At 38.8% G+C, this 18,084-nt stretch overlaps 1 protein-coding gene across 7 annotated transcripts in view, besides 1 other annotated feature; it reads left to right on the top strand.

The window, feature by feature from the left end:
- GRIP1 (glutamate receptor interacting protein 1) overlaps positions 1-18,084 on the top strand; it is a 721,908-nt gene that overhangs the window by 176,625 nt on the left and 527,199 nt on the right. The window lies entirely within an intron of this gene.
- Positions 6,897-7,397: an enhancer, noted in NCBI's record as "H3K4me1 hESC enhancer chr12:67279097-67279597 (GRCh37/hg19 assembly coordinates)". NCBI's record gives its function as "activates a minimal SCP1, AML or CMV promoter by ChIP-STARR-seq in primed H9 embryonic stem cells {active_cell/tissue: H9 hESC(primed)}" and the evidence as "EXISTENCE:reporter gene assay evidence [ECO:0000049][PMID:30033119]".

The raw sequence follows: 18,084 nt of genomic DNA, 5'->3' as shown, positions 1-18,084 counted from the left end.
CAGGGATTGCACGTGTGAGCTACCACATCCATTCCAGTTTTGTATCCTGATTGTAATAATGATTGCACAAATCCATATGTGTGATAACATTTCATAGCAAAAATGTGTATATATGTGTATATATATATATAAGTGAGTAAATGAAAAGAGTGGTAGACTCCTGAAAAGGTCTCTCATTTAGATAAAGTATTGTACCAATGCCAGCTGTGTGATGTACTATGGTTATGTAACTTGCTCTCATTGGTGAGACCTGGGAGAAGGATACACAGAATTTCTCTGTATTGTTTTTGCCATTTCTTGTGAGTCTAAAATTATTTCTAAATAAAACATTTTTTAAAAAAGGTTCTCTCTGGAAGTTATGTTGAATCAACACTGAAGGGACAAAGGGGAAGCAGGGAGACCAATTAGGAGGCTGCTGTAGTCATCCAGGTAAGAGATGATGGTGGCTGGGACCAAGGTGGAATTGGTGATGGAATTCCTACCTGTCCCTTCCAGGCTGTGCAATGGGACAACTTTAAGAGCCAGAGTCTCCAGCTGTCACTACCCTGTCACCATCCCTACTATCATCTCTGGACCCCATATTTCACCTGTGCTCACCCTGACACCACTTCTGCCCTTGTGTCTCCTCACAGCAAGTGTGGGTGCTACTTCCCCTGAGATGCCATGAGTTTCTTTTTCCTTATTGCCAGGATTGCCCTGAGCCATCACAGGCCCTTGATTTTTACTATCTAAGCTGTATTTCCTCTGCCCATCCATTAGGAAGAAGATTGCTGTCTGGTTTGAACTGGAATTTCTCGCTATGTCCCACTGGAGGTATGTCATAGTCTGCTCTTCTCACTCCTCTGTCTCAGGAAACATGGTGGAATTTTCTTAAGAGGCTTCGAATTCCTTTTCCTCCTTATAGGGGAAGAATTTGCCTCAGTCATATTTTCTAATGGCATCTCCTCATCTGTCAGCTCTTTCTCAAGGTACTTTCCCATGAGAGAGAAGGAAGGAAATCTCCATGTCAAAGCATTTTTCTTCCTACTGATTTAATTTTATGGTTTTTATCCTTGTCGTCTTTAAGGAGCATGGCTACCTCAATGCTCTGTGGAGGGAAACACCAAACAGAGGCTCATCCCTCCCAGTGTTTAGCCCCTGTGATGAGGAGGATGCAGATACTCCTCTTCTACTTTGTATTCTTCGGTCATCATTCTAAAATCACCACATCAGCCCACATCCTTCTGGTGCAACCTTCAGATGGGAGAGAAATCCTTTCTTGTTACTTCCTGACTGCAGCCAGGCCATCCACTGTCCCATCCTTCTGAAAGTATGTGCTTTGTGGCCAGATATGAACATTTTCCCAGGGGTAGCTGCTCTGCTAGGTTCTTGATACGCAAAACTTGAGCCCTTGAGAGGTTCTGGACCATTGAGTCCCAACTGCAACCTACTTAATATTTCATAGTAAGGCTATGCAAGGCCTTGTATGAATTTTAATCATTCTTGACATTATCTCCAAAATGGTTGGGACTTTTGCTAGTGCTTGTCTAAATATGGACTAAATCTTCATGGTGGAAAAAAATATAAAAGCTTTACCTTGCTTTGAGATCTTTTCACTTTTACTTCATTAAGACAAATTCCTTATTGAAGTATACATGACTTCTAGTTACTTTATAACAATTATAAAATTGCTGTTTAAATGCACTATGTAATTTTAGAATAACATTAAAATATAGCAACACTTTACTACTTTCCCCATTTCCCTTTCAAATCCATATGTTCTCTGTGATGTTAAGTCTCTGAGGAAGACCTCATAAAGTCATTGAGCATCCACTGGTGATCCTGCAAGATAAAAGATCCACAGCCTGTGTTTCAATTCTGGCATTAATGAAGTTCTTTCTAGACACAGCACACCTGTTACCCTGTCACATTCTCTACCCTCTTGCTAAAATTCTTCTTTAGGCAGATAATTTCTTTTTCAGATCTAAAGATGGTTAACCCATCAGTATGTATAATAAACTCATTTGTGTTCCAGTTATGATTATTTACATTTATTAAAATTTTATCTATTCTTTTTTCCCCTAATTTTATATTCCCTGATGCTAACTATTTGATACTGAGCAGAGAATAGTATTTAGTTGCAGCTGTAGTACTTTCGAATGTTGTGTCATCTTTCTCTGACACCCAGACTAACAAGTAAGTTCTTTAACAGCATTACTCAGCATTATCCAGTTTTGACTTGTGTTCACCTGTGTTCATGTTAACAGCATCAGTGTTTTCACAGGCAATTTTTTTAAACCTAAATTATAGTTAAAATCAGTTTTACCTAAAAGTTTTAATTTTAGTTGGGTTTGCATTCAATAAGATTAAGCTTAGATTTCTAATCGTCATAAGGTAAAATATGTTTGTGGTTCAAGCATTGCCTTTGGAGCAAAACTGACCTGGATCGGAAATTTACTTTGCCACCAAATGGCTATGTTCACGAGCATTTTAAGTTCTCTGAGCTGGCCGGGTGTGGTGGCTCACAACTGTAATCCCAACATTTTGGGAGGCTGAGGTGGGAACATTGCTTGAGCCCAGGGGTTCTAGACCAGACTGAGTAACATAGTGAGACCCTGTCTCTACTAAAAATGTAAATATTAGCCAGGCATGGTGGCACATACCTGTAGTCCCAGCTATTGGGAGGCTGTTGGGAGGACAGTTTGAGAGCCTGGGAGGTCAAGGCTACATTGAGCCGTGATTACACCACTGCACTCCATCCTGGGTGACAAAGTGAGACCCTGTAAGATAAAAAAAACAAAAAACAAAAAAAAACAGTAGCTGAGCCTCCGTTTACCTCTCTATGAAATTTAATCTAAAGGCCATATATGTAAAATAGTACAATGCATGGCATATATTAGGCACTCGATCAGTGGCAGTTATTATTACTATTAGAAATGTAGCTCCAAATTCAATGATGTGAAATATAGCAGGTTAGTACAGTTAACACATGATGACATTTGTGTTACACATTTAAGCCTTAAAATTATGCAAATAGAATAAACTATGAGCTTAAGAAAATTGATATTAACTTTGATCAAAATTTGGAAGTCAATTAGCTGTTTATCCTGATCAAGGAATGAATTTTACCTTACACCACTGATTATTTGGCATAGTTACTTTGACTTTTATAAACAAATCTTAAAATATTCAACATATATAACCTTAATAATGTGCAATGTTGGATTATAGTTCTCCAAAAGTCTTTGAAATTATTATTATTTTGTTGTTTTTGAGACAGAGTTTCACTCTTGTTGCCCAGGCTGGAGTGCAATGGTGTGATCTTGGCTCATGGCAACCTCTGCCTCCCAGGTTCAAGTGATTCTCCTGCCTCAGCCTCCCGAGTAGCTGGTATTATAGGCCCCTGCCACCACGCCTGGCTAATTTTTTGTATTTGTAGTAGAGATGGGGTTTCACTATGTTGGCCAGGCTGGTCTCAAACTCCTGACCTCAGGTAAGCCACCTGCCTCGGCCTCCCAAGGTGCTGGGATTACAGGCGTGAGCTGCCGCACCTGGCCTGAAATTATTTTTAAAAAGGAATGTATGTACCACATCCGTGCACAGACAAACAACTAGACTTACAATAGAGAAAGGTGGCAGATAGGAAAAATAAGTTTGAGACTGGACTCTGGCACTGACTTTATTTCTTTGGACAAATCATGTAACTTCTTAGAGCTTCAATTTTTTGTAGTTCAACTCTGTCTTCTAGCATTGCTTCTTTATTAATGTCCCATTATGATTATAAAAGGCCAAAATGTTTATTTAAATGTAGTCTTCAAATATTTTTAGGGCACTCTTACTCAGATTTGAATTTATTTATTTTTATTTATTTATTCAATGATATTTGATTTATTTAAATGTGGCTTTTCACATTTGATGATAGCAACTGTGTTCAGTAGAAAAACATATTATAAACTCACAATATTTTAGCTCCTGTTAGCAAAAATAGGAACTTGAAATTCTCTAGATCTGTGGTTCCTAACCCTGACTACACATTCCTGTAACCTAAACAGGCTTTAAAAATGTCAGTTCTGGCAGGGCAAGGTGGCTCATGCCTGTAATTCCAGCACTTTTGGAGGCCGAGGCAGGCAAATCATCTGAGGTCAGGAGTTTGAGACCAGCCTGGCCAACATGGCAAAACACCGTCTCTACTAAAAATAATGTGAAAATTAGCTGTGCATGGTGGCACATGCCTGTAGTCCCAGCTACTTGGGAGCCTGAGGCACAAGAATTGCTTGAACCCAGGAGGCAGAGGTTACAGTGAGCTGAGATCGCGCCACTGTACTCCAGCCTGGGTGACAGAGAGAGACTCTATCTTAATAAAAGTCAGTTCTTGGCTAGGCCCTGTGGTTCATGCCTGTAATCCTAGCACTTTGGGAGGCTGAGGTAAGATGATTGCTTGAGTCTAAGAGTTTGAGACCAGCTGGGGCAGCATATTGAGACCCCATCTCCACAAAAAAAAATGAAAAAAAATTAGCTGGGTGTGATGGTGTGCGCCTGTGGTTCCAGCTACTCAGGAGGCTGAGGTGGGAGGATCACTTGAGCCCCAGGTCGAGGTTGCAGTAAGTGGTGATTGCACTACTGCACTCCAGCCTGGGCAACAGAGAGAGACCCTGTCTCAAAATAAAATAAAATAAAATAAAAATGAATAAAAAAGTCATTTCTTAGGTTTGTGCCCCTGACCAGTTGAATCAGAATCACCGGGGTTAGAACTTGATTTCTGTGTTTGTTAAAAGCTTTTTGAAGCCTAGATGATTTTGATGCACACCAAGGACAGACAGCTGCTGATCTGGGCCTATTGTTATCTAAATTTAATTTATATTTAACTACAGTAGCATTTTTTTCTCTTTTGGTGGAGGGTGCATCTAGGAATAAATATCTTCTCTGGCTAAGGAAAAGCACTTTTAACATGGGATCCACCTCTCTGTTTCTTTTAGTATATTGAACTTCAAAGTTTTTAAAGAAAAGTGTAAGCTTATAATCATTTCTTAGAGGTTAGTTTCTTAAGAGATTTTGTATTTTAGAATAGAAATACATGAGACATACTCTAAACACTCTCAAAGCATGTGTAGAATGTTCAAATTACTTAAAAGGTCAAATAAATATCTGTTGTAAATATTCTTGACCTCTAGAAAAGAAAACACAAAAGACCTAGATGGAGATATCTATAGTTTATGATTATGTCACTAGAAATGATAACAGTACTAACATTAATAGGCTCCTTATATGCCAGGCAGTATTTTAAGTGCCTTAAGGCAGACACTCATTCAATCCTCATAACAACCTGTAAAGTGGGTACATTATTAATCCCATTTTACCCCTGAGGACGTTGAGGCACAGGGAGAAAATTTGCATTTATAAATATTTTGTAAATATTATAATTAGGCATTATGATTTGAACATTAATCCTTCTTTTTCAAACATTTCTATGCTTCAGCAGTCTTTCTTATTTCCTAATACTGCTATATTTTGAAAAGCTAACTTTCATTAAAATTTGTTTTACTCCTAAGGCAAAGCCAGAAGGCGAAGTCTTCAAACAACTTTATCTCCTACACTGACGCAGTTAGCAAAGCCAGAAAAACAAAGCATAAGATCAAGTGGTTCATGCACCACAGTTTTAATTGCTTTACTTTCTCGATTCCCCAACTTTCCAGATTTGAAATTCATTTATCTAAAGAGTGATACTGGGAGATGGTGAGATAGAGTGAAAAGGGCACATGGAGACATAGACCTCTCGTATAGCTCTCACTTAGGTGTGTGATCTTGCAAAAATTCCTATACCTGTTGAGACTTAATTTATATGCTATAAAATAGGGTTAGCAATAGTAATAACAGTAATTAACAACAGTAATATCAGTATCTGCCATCACTTCTTCACGGTATTGTTGTCATGATCAAATAAGGTATTTGTTAGGGAGTGCTTTTTGTGGTATGATGATATATAGATATTAATCTTTAAAATTAATTTTATCTTGCTCTTATTGTTACTGTTATTATCTTATTTTTGCTTAGTACTGTCACCAACTAAAAGTGGTTCCACGTGTCCAGGGTTGGTAGAGGATGGATGAATGGGTGCTGTAGATGGGAGCCCAGCTCAGGAGTCTCCTCTTATGGGTCGTTAGGAGATTTTACATTTGGGAATATGAGAGCATTTTCAACAGGGAAACGGCTCAGTTAGATTTGCTTTCAAAAAGAAAATGTTGACTGCAGAGAGAGAAGAGATGGGGCAGGTTGTAACTGGGCTTCAGGGATATGCAGAAATTGAAATCTAGGAACATTCCAAGATATGAGATCATTGTTAATTTATCAATTATAATGCACAGTTTTTCACTTTTAAAATTAGTCATTTTATTATGTTTCTCATGAGCATTTTTACCTTAAAAGCCTCAATTATATAGGATTTGGGGATAATCTTTGTTTGTTTTGTTTTTTGACATGGTCTCACTCTGTCACCCAGGCTGAAGTGCAGTGACATGATCTCTGCTCACTGCAACCTCCAACTCCCGGGTTCAAATGATCCTCCTGCCTCAGCCTCCCAACTAGCTGGGACTACAGGCGTGCCCCACCACGCCTGGCTAATTTGTTTGTATTTTTAGTAGAGATGGGGGTTTCACCGTGTTGGCCAGGCTGGTCTCGAGCTCCTGACCTCAAGTGATCCACCCAACTTGGTTTCCCAAAGTGCTGGGATTACAGGCGTGAACCACTGCACCCATAAATTTTTCATAGCTTGGATATACTGTATAATGTATTGGAGGATTTTTAACTTAGAGTCACATATGATAGCTTAATTTTTGTATACCTGAATTCCATGTAGCTCTTGAATCTCCATTTCCCCATTTCCTTGTAATTTGCCCATTCAAGGTAACAAGGTCAGTTCCAGGCTGACTCACTCTTCTTTCGCAGAAAGATAGAGGCTTTTAGAGTTCTTCTTCCTCCTGAGTGGCAAGGCGGCTTGGTGATTATGCAGACTTGAGGCTTTAGAGGAGAGAGATTGGCAGGCTTACCAGCTGTATCTGGTTGTTCTTGCTGTTGCTGAGCTATCTCATCCCACCTGGTCTTCAGGCACGAGCCCCTGCCCTCACCCCATCTGCTACTTAAAGTGTCCGTGATCTGTGATCTGTGATCTGATCTTAGCATAGGCCTGTCTCTGCTGACTTCACCATCACGTTGGCTTTTTCCTGGTGCTGAATTTTCTCTGAGAATCAGGTACGCCCTCCATCTACTCCTGGCTTTGTTCTACTCACAGCCTTTGCTACAGATTTTTTTTGTCTCAGACCATCCTGAGAGAATAGCACATTGGCCGGCAGCCCTCAGCCCCTTTCTAAGCCTCTCTGAAGGGGCCATGGGATGTTCCAGCTCCCCTCCCTGCTCTGCAGGTGCCAAGGGGAACTGGTGTGAAGCGCACCGGGGGCAGCTTGTCCTCTGTTGAGACCCGCCCACTGGCATTTCTTCTCTGTGGCAGCCTTCTTTCGTGGGCGTGAGGCACCACTGAGAGTTTCGGTTGAACAGGGATCATGAGTCTCCTCAGCTTATGGGTGCTGAGTCTCTGGAAAGTTTCTGCCTCCCCTTCTGGGGTTTTGATCTCAGTTTGCAGGATCCACCAGGCTAATTGGAGAAATGGATAGTCAATTCTTCAGGCTCATTTTGCTATTTAAATAATATCTTTGGAGTTCAGCAGAAAACCTCTAAGTGCCCAGCTCTTACAAGGGAAAATCAAGGTTTTCATAGTCCTTATAGAAACAGTTCTAATTTGAAGTCCAAGGTGGGCAAAAGCTTCTTTTTTCTTTCCTGGCCCTGTCCTCTCATTTAAGAAATGGATGCCTCAGCTTCAAAGAGTGGAGAATTTTGAGACAAAATTGCCAGGAATTATATATATTTTAGATGGCATTTCAAAATATTCTTCTACACCTGTGTAAGTCATATTATTTTTTGTTCTTTTCTGTTTTATATATTGTTTCTTTCTGCTTTGCCTTTCTGCCCAAGAAATTGTTTGTGGGTAATCATTGGGTAGGTCTTGTATCCAAGACTAAACTTTATGTGAAACTTGCAACTTCTCTTTTTATAATCCATTTACATTTTTTTCTGTTAAGGCTTTTGTTTCTTGTAACTTCTACATTTCATTATTGTTCATTTCCAATTGGTGTCAGTTCTGCTGAATAGTAATATCTTAAGCTGCATCCTCCATTCAAGGAAGTTGCTTTCCTTTACATCCTGTTCGTGCGTATTACAATTCTCTTTCCTTTAAGATAAATGTATCATTTATCCTAAGAAGATTGTAGAGAGTAATAGTCTCGTTTTCTAGCCGTAGCCTTCTGTACCAATTACAGGTCCTCGATGATACGCTTTACATAATTATTAGAGGCTGGAGAGGGCAATTTCTCAAATAGCTCTCTATTCCCTTGTGGCTGGCAAGAGTTCTAACACAGCAGCGGGAAGTGCGGATCTCAGTTCCCTGTTGCTAGCAAAAGCGCTAAGCGGTCTCACTGAAATTATTAACAAAATACGTAGGTTAAGCATGCAGCCTTTTGCTCTGCATTTCCCCATTTCTGTGCTCTTAAAACTGCTATTGTAATGTTAAACAAAAGGCACTCACATATGGCTTGAGTAAAAACCTGATCAATTTGTTGCCAGAATGCCTTGGAGAGCTAACATTTAGTAAGTGTAATTTTTCTGCTCACACTTGCATGTGCACTGGCATGATCACCCTCTCTAATTCAGTGATAGTAGCTAATATTTTTGAACAATGTGCCAGGCATTATGCTAATGACTTTGCATGCATTATCTCATTTGATCTTTATAATGCTGTGAAGTAGATGCCCATTTTGCAGATGTAAAAACAGAAATTTATAGAAGTTGAACAACTTGACCAAGGTCCCACAGCTGGAAAGCAACAGAGCTGAAACCCGATCTGCCCTCTTCTCCACTATGTAGTATAGTGTCCAAACGGGGATGTCTTTGTGAAATGGGACACTGTTGCTATTTACATCGGGATGACAGTTATAAATCAGGGCTTTACTATGCAAACCAGGACGTATGTTCACCCTAACTATAAACCCTCTCAAGGGAGAGCTTTTGATCATTGAGACACTAAAGGAGGAACCTGGGGGTCCTTTTTAGGTCCTTTCCCCAAGTTTGGAAAGTCCTTAGTCTCTAATCAGATTCAGTTTTCACTCAGAAGGGGCAGCCTTCCATGAATGTGTCTACTGATGTAATACAATGTAAACATGGTCAGGGCTGTACCCCAGTCCCTCTCTACTTATATTATAGAGTTTTCATTTGCTTGTTCAATATAGATTTATTGAGCACCATGGGTTGGGTATTTTGATGGGTACTGTGAAAATGAAGATGAAAAAACATGATCCATGCCCTCAAATAATTTATAATCTAGTGTGAAGACTAAGGCCAAAAATTAAGGAATGGGCAGTACTAAAGGGAAAGGGGTGCACAGTTGCAATGGGATCACGACTGGAAATGTGAAAGGGGAAGATGAGGGAGCCCCAAAGGAGAGTGGCATTATGGGTTTTCATGTGGGAAGAGACCAGAGAGACATTAACTGGTAGTTGCAGTTGTCCTGTGATAAGGGCTGTTGCTGTGAGGATGGAGTGGAGAGAATAGAAATGAACAAAGCAGAGTGGGTAGTAGACTCATAACTTGGAGATGGATGTAATGTGAGGGGTGGGAGGGAAAGACCTTTCCTCCCAGTTTTGTTTCTTACTTTGCTTGTGTGGTTTTTCTTCCCCAATTCTGGAGCCAGAATCCACTAAAGGTGTCTCTTTGGTTATGAACCTTGCAAAGAACGGCAGAGCAGACCAAGTATTTAAAGCAGCCTTGGCTGCCTTGTCTGCCTTGTCTGCGAGGAGGAGATAATAATCCTTCTGGCCCACAGGGCTACTGTGAAGCTAAAAGGAGACCATGGGGAAGGTGCTTTTGGAACTGAAAAGCAAAATATGAAATAAGCAGAATGTTATTATTGTGATTAATATTAATGCTTATAATATTTGGTTTGGACTTGTCTTGAAATAAAACGATGATGATGGCAGTGGTGGTAGTACTCGCAGATAATACTTTATTTGTATGACTGCATATCCCTTAATATGTTCCTAACACTGCTTCTGATGTACTGATTCATTTAATTCTCACAATAGTCTCATTTTACAGATAAGGGAACTGAGGCACAGAGAAGTTAAGCAATTACTCAAGATCAGAGCTGTTTAATTGGCTAAAATTGGCTTCGGTTCAGCTCGGCTGGCTCCTCTTACCTCTTTTTTCTCCTGTTCCACACTTGTCAGATCTCAAGTACAAAACAGGTATTAGTTTGCATCCAGTTTTTCTCTGGTGATCTTGGAGTCTTCTGTCTGTGTACACTGTTCCATCTACCAGCTTCCTAGGCAAAGTCCCCTTTTAAAATTATCCCTAGCATTGCATTGGCTCAGATGCTGTAACATCGTGTTGATAGAAGAGTGGTCTTTTTTTTTTTTTTTTTTTGTGATGGCACACTATGTGTTTACATGGGGCACGGGCAATAGGGCTCAAGGGTTTAGTCTCTGTTGAATGTTTAATGACAGAGGAACCAAGTGGTTGCCTGCCTATTCATGTGATAGAAGCCATGAGAAGAGAAAGATGGAGATGGGAGGGAAAAGAAAGGAGCAAGTACACAGTAGAGAGGAACATACAGAACAGGGGATAGGAAAAAGTGAAATCATAGGAACTAGAAATAGGAATTAGATGCCACCTCTCTGAATGACTGAAAGGAAATTTTCAAATACTTGGTTTGTACCAGGCATTCTATTAAACCTCTTAATATTAATTATCTCAGTTATTGTGACAACTGCTCCATTCTTTGTGGAAGAAAATGCAGTCTGGCCATTTTGTTACAGCTGAGTTCTTTTTCTTTTTATGTGTCTTTTTATTCCCAACAGCCCACAGCCACATATTGTGATTTCAGATTTTTCTTCTTGCCTAGTCCAAGGGTCCTGGGTAGATAACTTTGCTGGAAATTTTCAAGCTACTCAGCCTTCCACAGCCTTGAGCTTGACCCTTTCCCCCTCCTTTGTAATAATGTCTGTGAGTTTCATTTCTGCAATCCTTGGATTGTTTTAATAAGACCTTCAAAGGCTGTAAAGCTCAATGGTGCATGTGATGGATGAAGCTGGAGAGGTAATAAAAAAAAAAAGTTATCCATTCCTACCAGGTCTCAGGAAAGAAAGAATGTGAATAATGGGTTAAGTAGAGCTCTTAAGTTATAAAAGTCATAATTATATGTGCATGTAATTTTTAGCACAGAGATTTATTAATTTGCATTCAGATCATTAGAGCCAATTAGCAGCTTCAGCTTCTCCAGCTATGCTTTAAGCCTTTTACCCTTTACTTCCCTTGTGAACCTCACATCGCATCTTTACAAACTAAGGCTTAAAACTGACCTCTGGTATTAGCGTCCAGAAAAAAAGGAAGCTCTACACTGCCACCCTCCAATACCATACACAAAACCTTTTTCTCTTTTTTTCTCTCTTTTTCTGTAGCGTTTCTGTCCACTGGGCCTTTTTCTTTAAAGGAACTCTGTTTACCATTCATTAGATAGTCCATTTGGAGAAATATGTGCAGAAATTAATAAATGAAAGGAAAAAAGTGAAAACTCCCTTTAGTCCTCCTTTTATTACTTACCTGAGACACCTGGTATTTGAAAGAGAGGAAAAAAAAAAAACAGAAGAGTAACAGAAATTCTACCTGAAAACCTGACTTCAAGTATTGAGCTGCTGACTGGTGAGAACTAGAGATATTTTCCTCATTCACCTCACCACTTACTTGGAAATTGTGTTTCTAGGGAACACAGATTAAATGAACCTTAGGAAACATTAACAAAAGTATGTTTGATTTTTAAGGGTCTGCCTATATAAATGTACAGGTCGGTTAATCAGTTCAGCAGTCTTTGGGGATTCATTTGACTAATCTTTGGTTAATATGAATGCTTATACATATCATGTCATGTTCCCACTATTTTCCATGGCTGGTGTTTTCCTCCTGTGCCTTTGCTCTATTCCAATTTTATTATAAAATCCAATTATAAGTTGGAAACAATGTAGTCTGTGTTTCTTAGTACTAGCCATTGAATCCTTATAAATAATTTTAAAATAAATAAAGAGTCCATCACTCTGTCTTCATCCTCTGGTTATGCCTGCAATCTCTCTGCTCCCATACCCACATGTTGAGGAGTGACAGGGATCTCCCAATCATGATATTGACCAATGTGAGTGTTGACCAATGAACTCAACGTCAAGACATTTTACCTCTACTACATCCTCCATTTAGCATGGTGTATTTCTTTTGAATCCATTGTTAATTTCCTGTCACTTTAATTAACATGGCTGTATTTGACATTATCCTAAAGTTTTCACCCATCCCCCCAACTCCCTTTTTTTAGCAGATCTTACCACCCACAATCCTAGTGAGGTTCTTGGGCTCCATCTGCTCCTTCCTTTGTGCACTCAGTTCTCTTAAACACATCGGTCCTTTGCTCCTTCCCTTCTTTGCATGGCTGGTCATTCTACATCTGGCTGTCATGGGCTGACCTCTGCTGAACCTCAAGCTATCTGGTCTTGTACAAATTACCTACTCTCTGTGCCTCATCATCAGCTACCCTCATTTCCTTCTCGCCCCTGCACAATATTAATCACTTGCATTTCTCCCAGTAGGCCTTAGCATGAACACTGCCTACTGTGTGTAGACACCTCAACCTCTGCTTAATTGGGTTCACTCTTTCTTACACTGCAGTTGACTCTGGCATCTGGACCTTAGACATGCCGGCCATAGGCTCCCATACCCTCCTTGCATACCTTTATTATAGTGCTAGTTATACTGTATTTCAATTGCCCATAAGCTCTGCCTTATCTACTCTTATACTGTTGTACCTACAGCAGTGACTGGCACATACGGTTTAAGAAATTTAAAAAATATGCACTGCAAGTTGAGCCGTGAAAAAATAAGGAGTGAATGAATGAATCTTATAACTAGTTGCCATTCAATTCATTCTGCCTTGACAGTGCCTCTTAACTCTGTTACTATCTTTGTCTTCCCTCCTTTGCTGTTCAGCTTCCTCCAGCTGAAGCTTTTGTTTATTTTTGGAGAGGCGATTCTGAGTGCTGTTTGGAGAGTGGCTTCACATATGGTCTTTGGAGTCTTGCTGCCTTGGTTTGTAGCCTATGTGGCTTGGTTTGCTCAGTATGTGGCCTTGTCCAAATTACGTAGTCTCTGTGCCTTATTTATTTATTTATTTAACCTATAAATGAATGATAGAAATAATACCCCCTTCCACAGGGTTGTTGTGTGGATTCATCGAGGGAGTTCCTGTGTAGCACTAAGCACCTGGTATGTAGTAAATTATAATTATATGTAAACTATTTAAACTGTTGCCTCCACTTTTTTTTTTCCTTTTTGCAAGCTACTTCAGACTTGCAAATAAAAATAGAGATTAACACAGCAAACACCTATGAGTGCAGCCCCAGTTTAAGAACAAAAATAACAAGATAGTAAAAGCCACCTGAGGACACTTTCCTATATTACCTTTTTCACTTTCCTTCCCTCCTTTCATGGTATTTATCATTCATATACATATTGTATACATTTCCTGTGTAGCTGGGAATCATAAACATTATGTAGTATGCAATGCATTATGCTGCTGCTTCATCTCCCTGCCCCTAGCTACCAACCCCTCAATGCCCCCCTCAAATCAGTGTCCATATTGTCTCTGTTTCTGTAAGTCGTTCACCATCTGTTCCTGAATCCCTGTTACATAGATTCTCACCTCCTACAAGCTGTTGTTCCAATGTTACCTTCTCAGTAAGGCCTTCTCTGGACATTCTAAAATTGCGTCACCTCTATTCCTCTTCCCTTCTTCATTTTTCTCCGCGATACTTCTTCCTCTATAACATATTATATATTCTTTCTTGTTTATCTTATTCTGTAGTTTACCAGCTAACAATGTAAGCTCCATGAGGTCAGGGATTTTTATCTGCATTGTTTTCTGCTATTTCCCTGCTGCCTAAAACGGAGTCTGATACATAGTAGGTGCTTTGTAGCATTGGTTTAATGAATGTTGAATATGTAGAATATGTCCCAACTCCTCAGTGTGGCTTTCACATTGACCTTTATTTTCTCCCCTACCTGTCCCCTGCCTCTGCAGTCTCCCTTCTCCACCCTAACATCATCACTCCAATCTGCCCTCCATTTTCTCCTCTCCCAGGCTTTGGTTCCAGTTATTTCTTCTTCCTGGAGTACCTCCCCTCTCACACTCATTTCTGCTTATGAAAGCTCTTCTTTTTCTTCAAGCTTAGCTCAAATCCTACCTCTTCCAAAAAGCCTTCTCGGTTCCCCTAGTTGAAATAAGTCTTCTTCCCTCTTCCAGGTTCCTTTAGCACTTACTATCTCTCTTATAACTTGTTTCATAGTCATCCTTATTTCAGATTTATTTGTGTGTGTATGTCCTGCAGGAACATGGAGTGTAGGAATCTCACTTCCATCCCACTCCATAGCAGCCAGCCCAGTCCTCAGCCCATCTATTCAGTGGGTGCTCAGTCTGTCTTTGTTTAATCACTTGAATTTGAATGTGAGAAGGGACTTCAGAACAGCCATTCATATCCCTTTGTAAAGAGTTCTGAACTCTTGCTTAATCATTGTTGACTGACTCCTCTACATGGCAAAGCAGAGGAAACCTTATGTCTTTCTTGAGTTAAAATTACCATACCTTGTTATAATTCTCTATTTCTGTAATGTTGGCCCACAGTATAGAATGATCAAATTATTTTAATTCCGCATCACTTCTTTCATTTTCCATCCATTGTTTCTGTTGTGACTCCTTTCACTCATTTTTTAATTTTATTTTTAACTTAAAATGAATTTATAAGCATAGTCCCATTCCATTTTCTAATCTGACTTTCTGCCAGATATGTTTTATGTGTGGGATAAGAGGAAAGAATGAATATGTGGGGTGTATGTGGAATGCTATTTTCTGCCTCACAGACTTGGAAAGACATTTCCCATTATAAAAAATGTGCAAATTAGAGAATTTCCAGAAATATAAGTGTGTGTTCTGTGAGCAATAATGCTAAGTAAGAGGTAATGTGTAATTAACTTTTGATTTTTGGCTGCAATCACTTTTGTGGAGAAAGATCACTGATTATGGCTGTGTTTAATAAGGTGAAATAGAATCTTAAAATTGTATGAGATGTTAGATATTACCTATTCCAGAATTTCTTTATTGTATGAGAACAGTTACACCCTTTCCTGACAAAAATTTAATAACACTGCCTTTTAGTGACTTAAAATACATTTTACCAACAATATCAACATACATGGATTTTCAAAAATCAATAGTTTAACACCCTGACTGAAATACAAAAGATATATAAAAATATACATATGTCAATATCAATATATAAATGCTTAAAGCATGACTTCTTTGGAAGACCTAATGAAATAGTCAGATGTGTGCACATGTGTGTAGAATCATCATGAATGGGGCAGCCTCAAATGCTGTCGGTTACAGGTGTGTTGTATTGGCAACTCAGATGCCGTAATTGACCTTATATCAATGCTATGATTTTCCCAGATGGTAACCCGTCATTGATAAAGTTCCAAATGAAGCAAGCTCACTCATACACACACAGTTACACAGATATGCATATTGAGGCTGCATTCCTGGAAAAATCAATATATATTAAAATAGCACAAAACAAAAAAATACTTGGGGTTTACATGTACAAAAGCTGTTAATATGTAGGCTCAGATAATTTTAGAAAGAGTTTATCTAATACCTGAATGAATGGTGGAACATCTGGTAAATCATGCAGAACATGAAAAAATTTTTCCTTTGATGGAATTGTTCCACTCATTTCCACCTCTGTGACTGAACTTTGCCTACCAAATGCCCACAATAGTGGTCCACAATCATTGTGATCCTGCCTTCCCATAAATGGACACATTGCTCCCTGGTGGTTGCTGCCCCAGTTGTGCATCTCTATCCTAGTCCTACCACCTCCTTAAGGAATTTGAGAACCAGAAAAGTTTGTTACCTGAAACCAGTCACTCAACTAGTTAAGATTCATGCAGCTCATGAGCTGCATGACAGCTTTGCTATGTCTGTAGCTGCTATATTCATCAGATCTATTGTCAAAAAAATCTAGACAGATGATAATTATGAGGAAATGTGGAATAAGACTGCCTGGGGTTTTAACCTGTCATTTACTAGGTTTAGGCCAGTAATGTGTGCTAGTTAACCTTTCTTAGCCTCAGTTTCTCCACTAAGAGTAGTAGTACCTAACTCATAGGGTTGTTTTGATGATTAAGTTAGAAAATGAGTATAAAGTGCTTGTAATAGAATAAGCATTTTTTAGAGGAGAGCTATGAAGATGATTATAACAATAATCATGACAACCATGAATGACAGTAAAGAATTATACTGGAGATAAAATTCAAGTTCTTTATTTTAAATTTTATTTCTAACTTAACTATAAATTTTTTTCTTCAAGCTGCCAAATTTTGTAGTTTTCATTCCAGTTTGATCCTCATTATCGCTCTTGCAGATTTTTTTGTTTTAAGTGCTCATACTTTTCTTGTTGTCTAATACTAAAATTTAAATTGCCTAACAGTTGAAATCTTTTCTTCACTCTGAAGATTTGCATATGTGGCTTTAAATGAAGTTATACTAATAAAATCCTTTTTACATTGGTACAGGATAAATAACTAAATTTAATTGTACCACTATTTTTGAATAAGATATTTCCCTTACTTTTGCAGAGGCTGTATTCCCAGAATTTAGCTGCTTTAATGATTTCTTTAGTAGCACACAAATTCTATATTAATCTCTCAGCAGTTTTCTGAGTTAAGTGCATTTTTATGCTTGGCAGGCTTAAGGTAGTCTAGGAAAATTGGTTTTCTTTTCTTATTACTTTTTCTGTTTAATTTGTAACCAGTTAAAGCACCACAATATGTTGGATGATTGATCTTAGTAAAACTGCAAAGTTAAGGGATAATTGGCAGATTTTGGTTAAGCAATGAAGTCTTCTACCACCTTTCAACAGCCTTGAAGACAACCTCATTATTAAAATGTACATACAAGCAAAATTCTGGATGTGCATGGAATTTAATTACTGACTGAGTAGCAGTGATACCAGGCTTTATTTTTATGGTGGATGTTTGTGAAGCAGCCTGTGGAATGATGGAGCCCTAGCAACCACAAAGGAACTTGCATGAAGATGGGATTTTGCAGCTATGTAACCTCATCCAGGTCACTTCCTGTTCACTTAACAGAGAACATCAGTGCAGAACATCCAATTGTTTAATACAATCAAGAATCATTTCTGGAAACCTAGCTCAAATTTACATATTTTGATGGTGAAAGGGACTTCTTTCTGATGATGGCAGTGCAGGATGTGAACCAATTATTTCCTGAAGAAACTGAGGTCCCATTTTGTAACAATGTGTTTATTACCAACTTTATTTTTAGGATAAGACTGTTAAAGTTCATGAGATAATGAATGAACAAGACAAGGTGACCTAACAATGATATATTATCACTCTTTATTTAATAATTGTGTCATTTTACAAATGCTTATTAAATGCCTACATTGTATGAGGCACTGTGCTAGGTGAAGAAAATATAAAACATGGTTCCTATCTTTATGTGTCTTACTACCAATTCTGATGGGTTTGACTTTTATAGCATACATACAGGGTATGTATACATGAAATGTAATATATCTTAGAATGTACAAAGGCTGCTAATGTGTAAGCTGAGATAATTTTAGAAAGAGTTTAACACCTGAAGGAATGGTGGAACGTTTGGTAAATCATGCAGAACATGGAACAGTTTTTCCCACTGGGGAACAGTAATCCCCAGTGTTGGAGGTGGGTCCTGGTGGGAGGTGATTGGATCATGGGGGAAAAATTCTCATGAATGGTTTAGCACCATCTCAGTGCTAATCTCATGATAGTGAGTGAGTGAATTATCACAACATCTGGTTGTTTAAAAATGTGTAGCACCTGCCGCGTCTCTCTCTCTCTTCCTTCTGCTCC

The sequence above is a fragment of the Homo sapiens genome, chromosome 12 (assembly GCF_000001405.40).
Source record: "Homo sapiens chromosome 12, GRCh38.p14 Primary Assembly".
Classification (NCBI taxonomy): Eukaryota; Metazoa; Chordata; class Mammalia; order Primates; family Hominidae; genus Homo; species Homo sapiens.
Note: the sequence above shows the minus strand (reverse complement) of the source record. Positions and strands in the feature narration are given on the sequence as shown.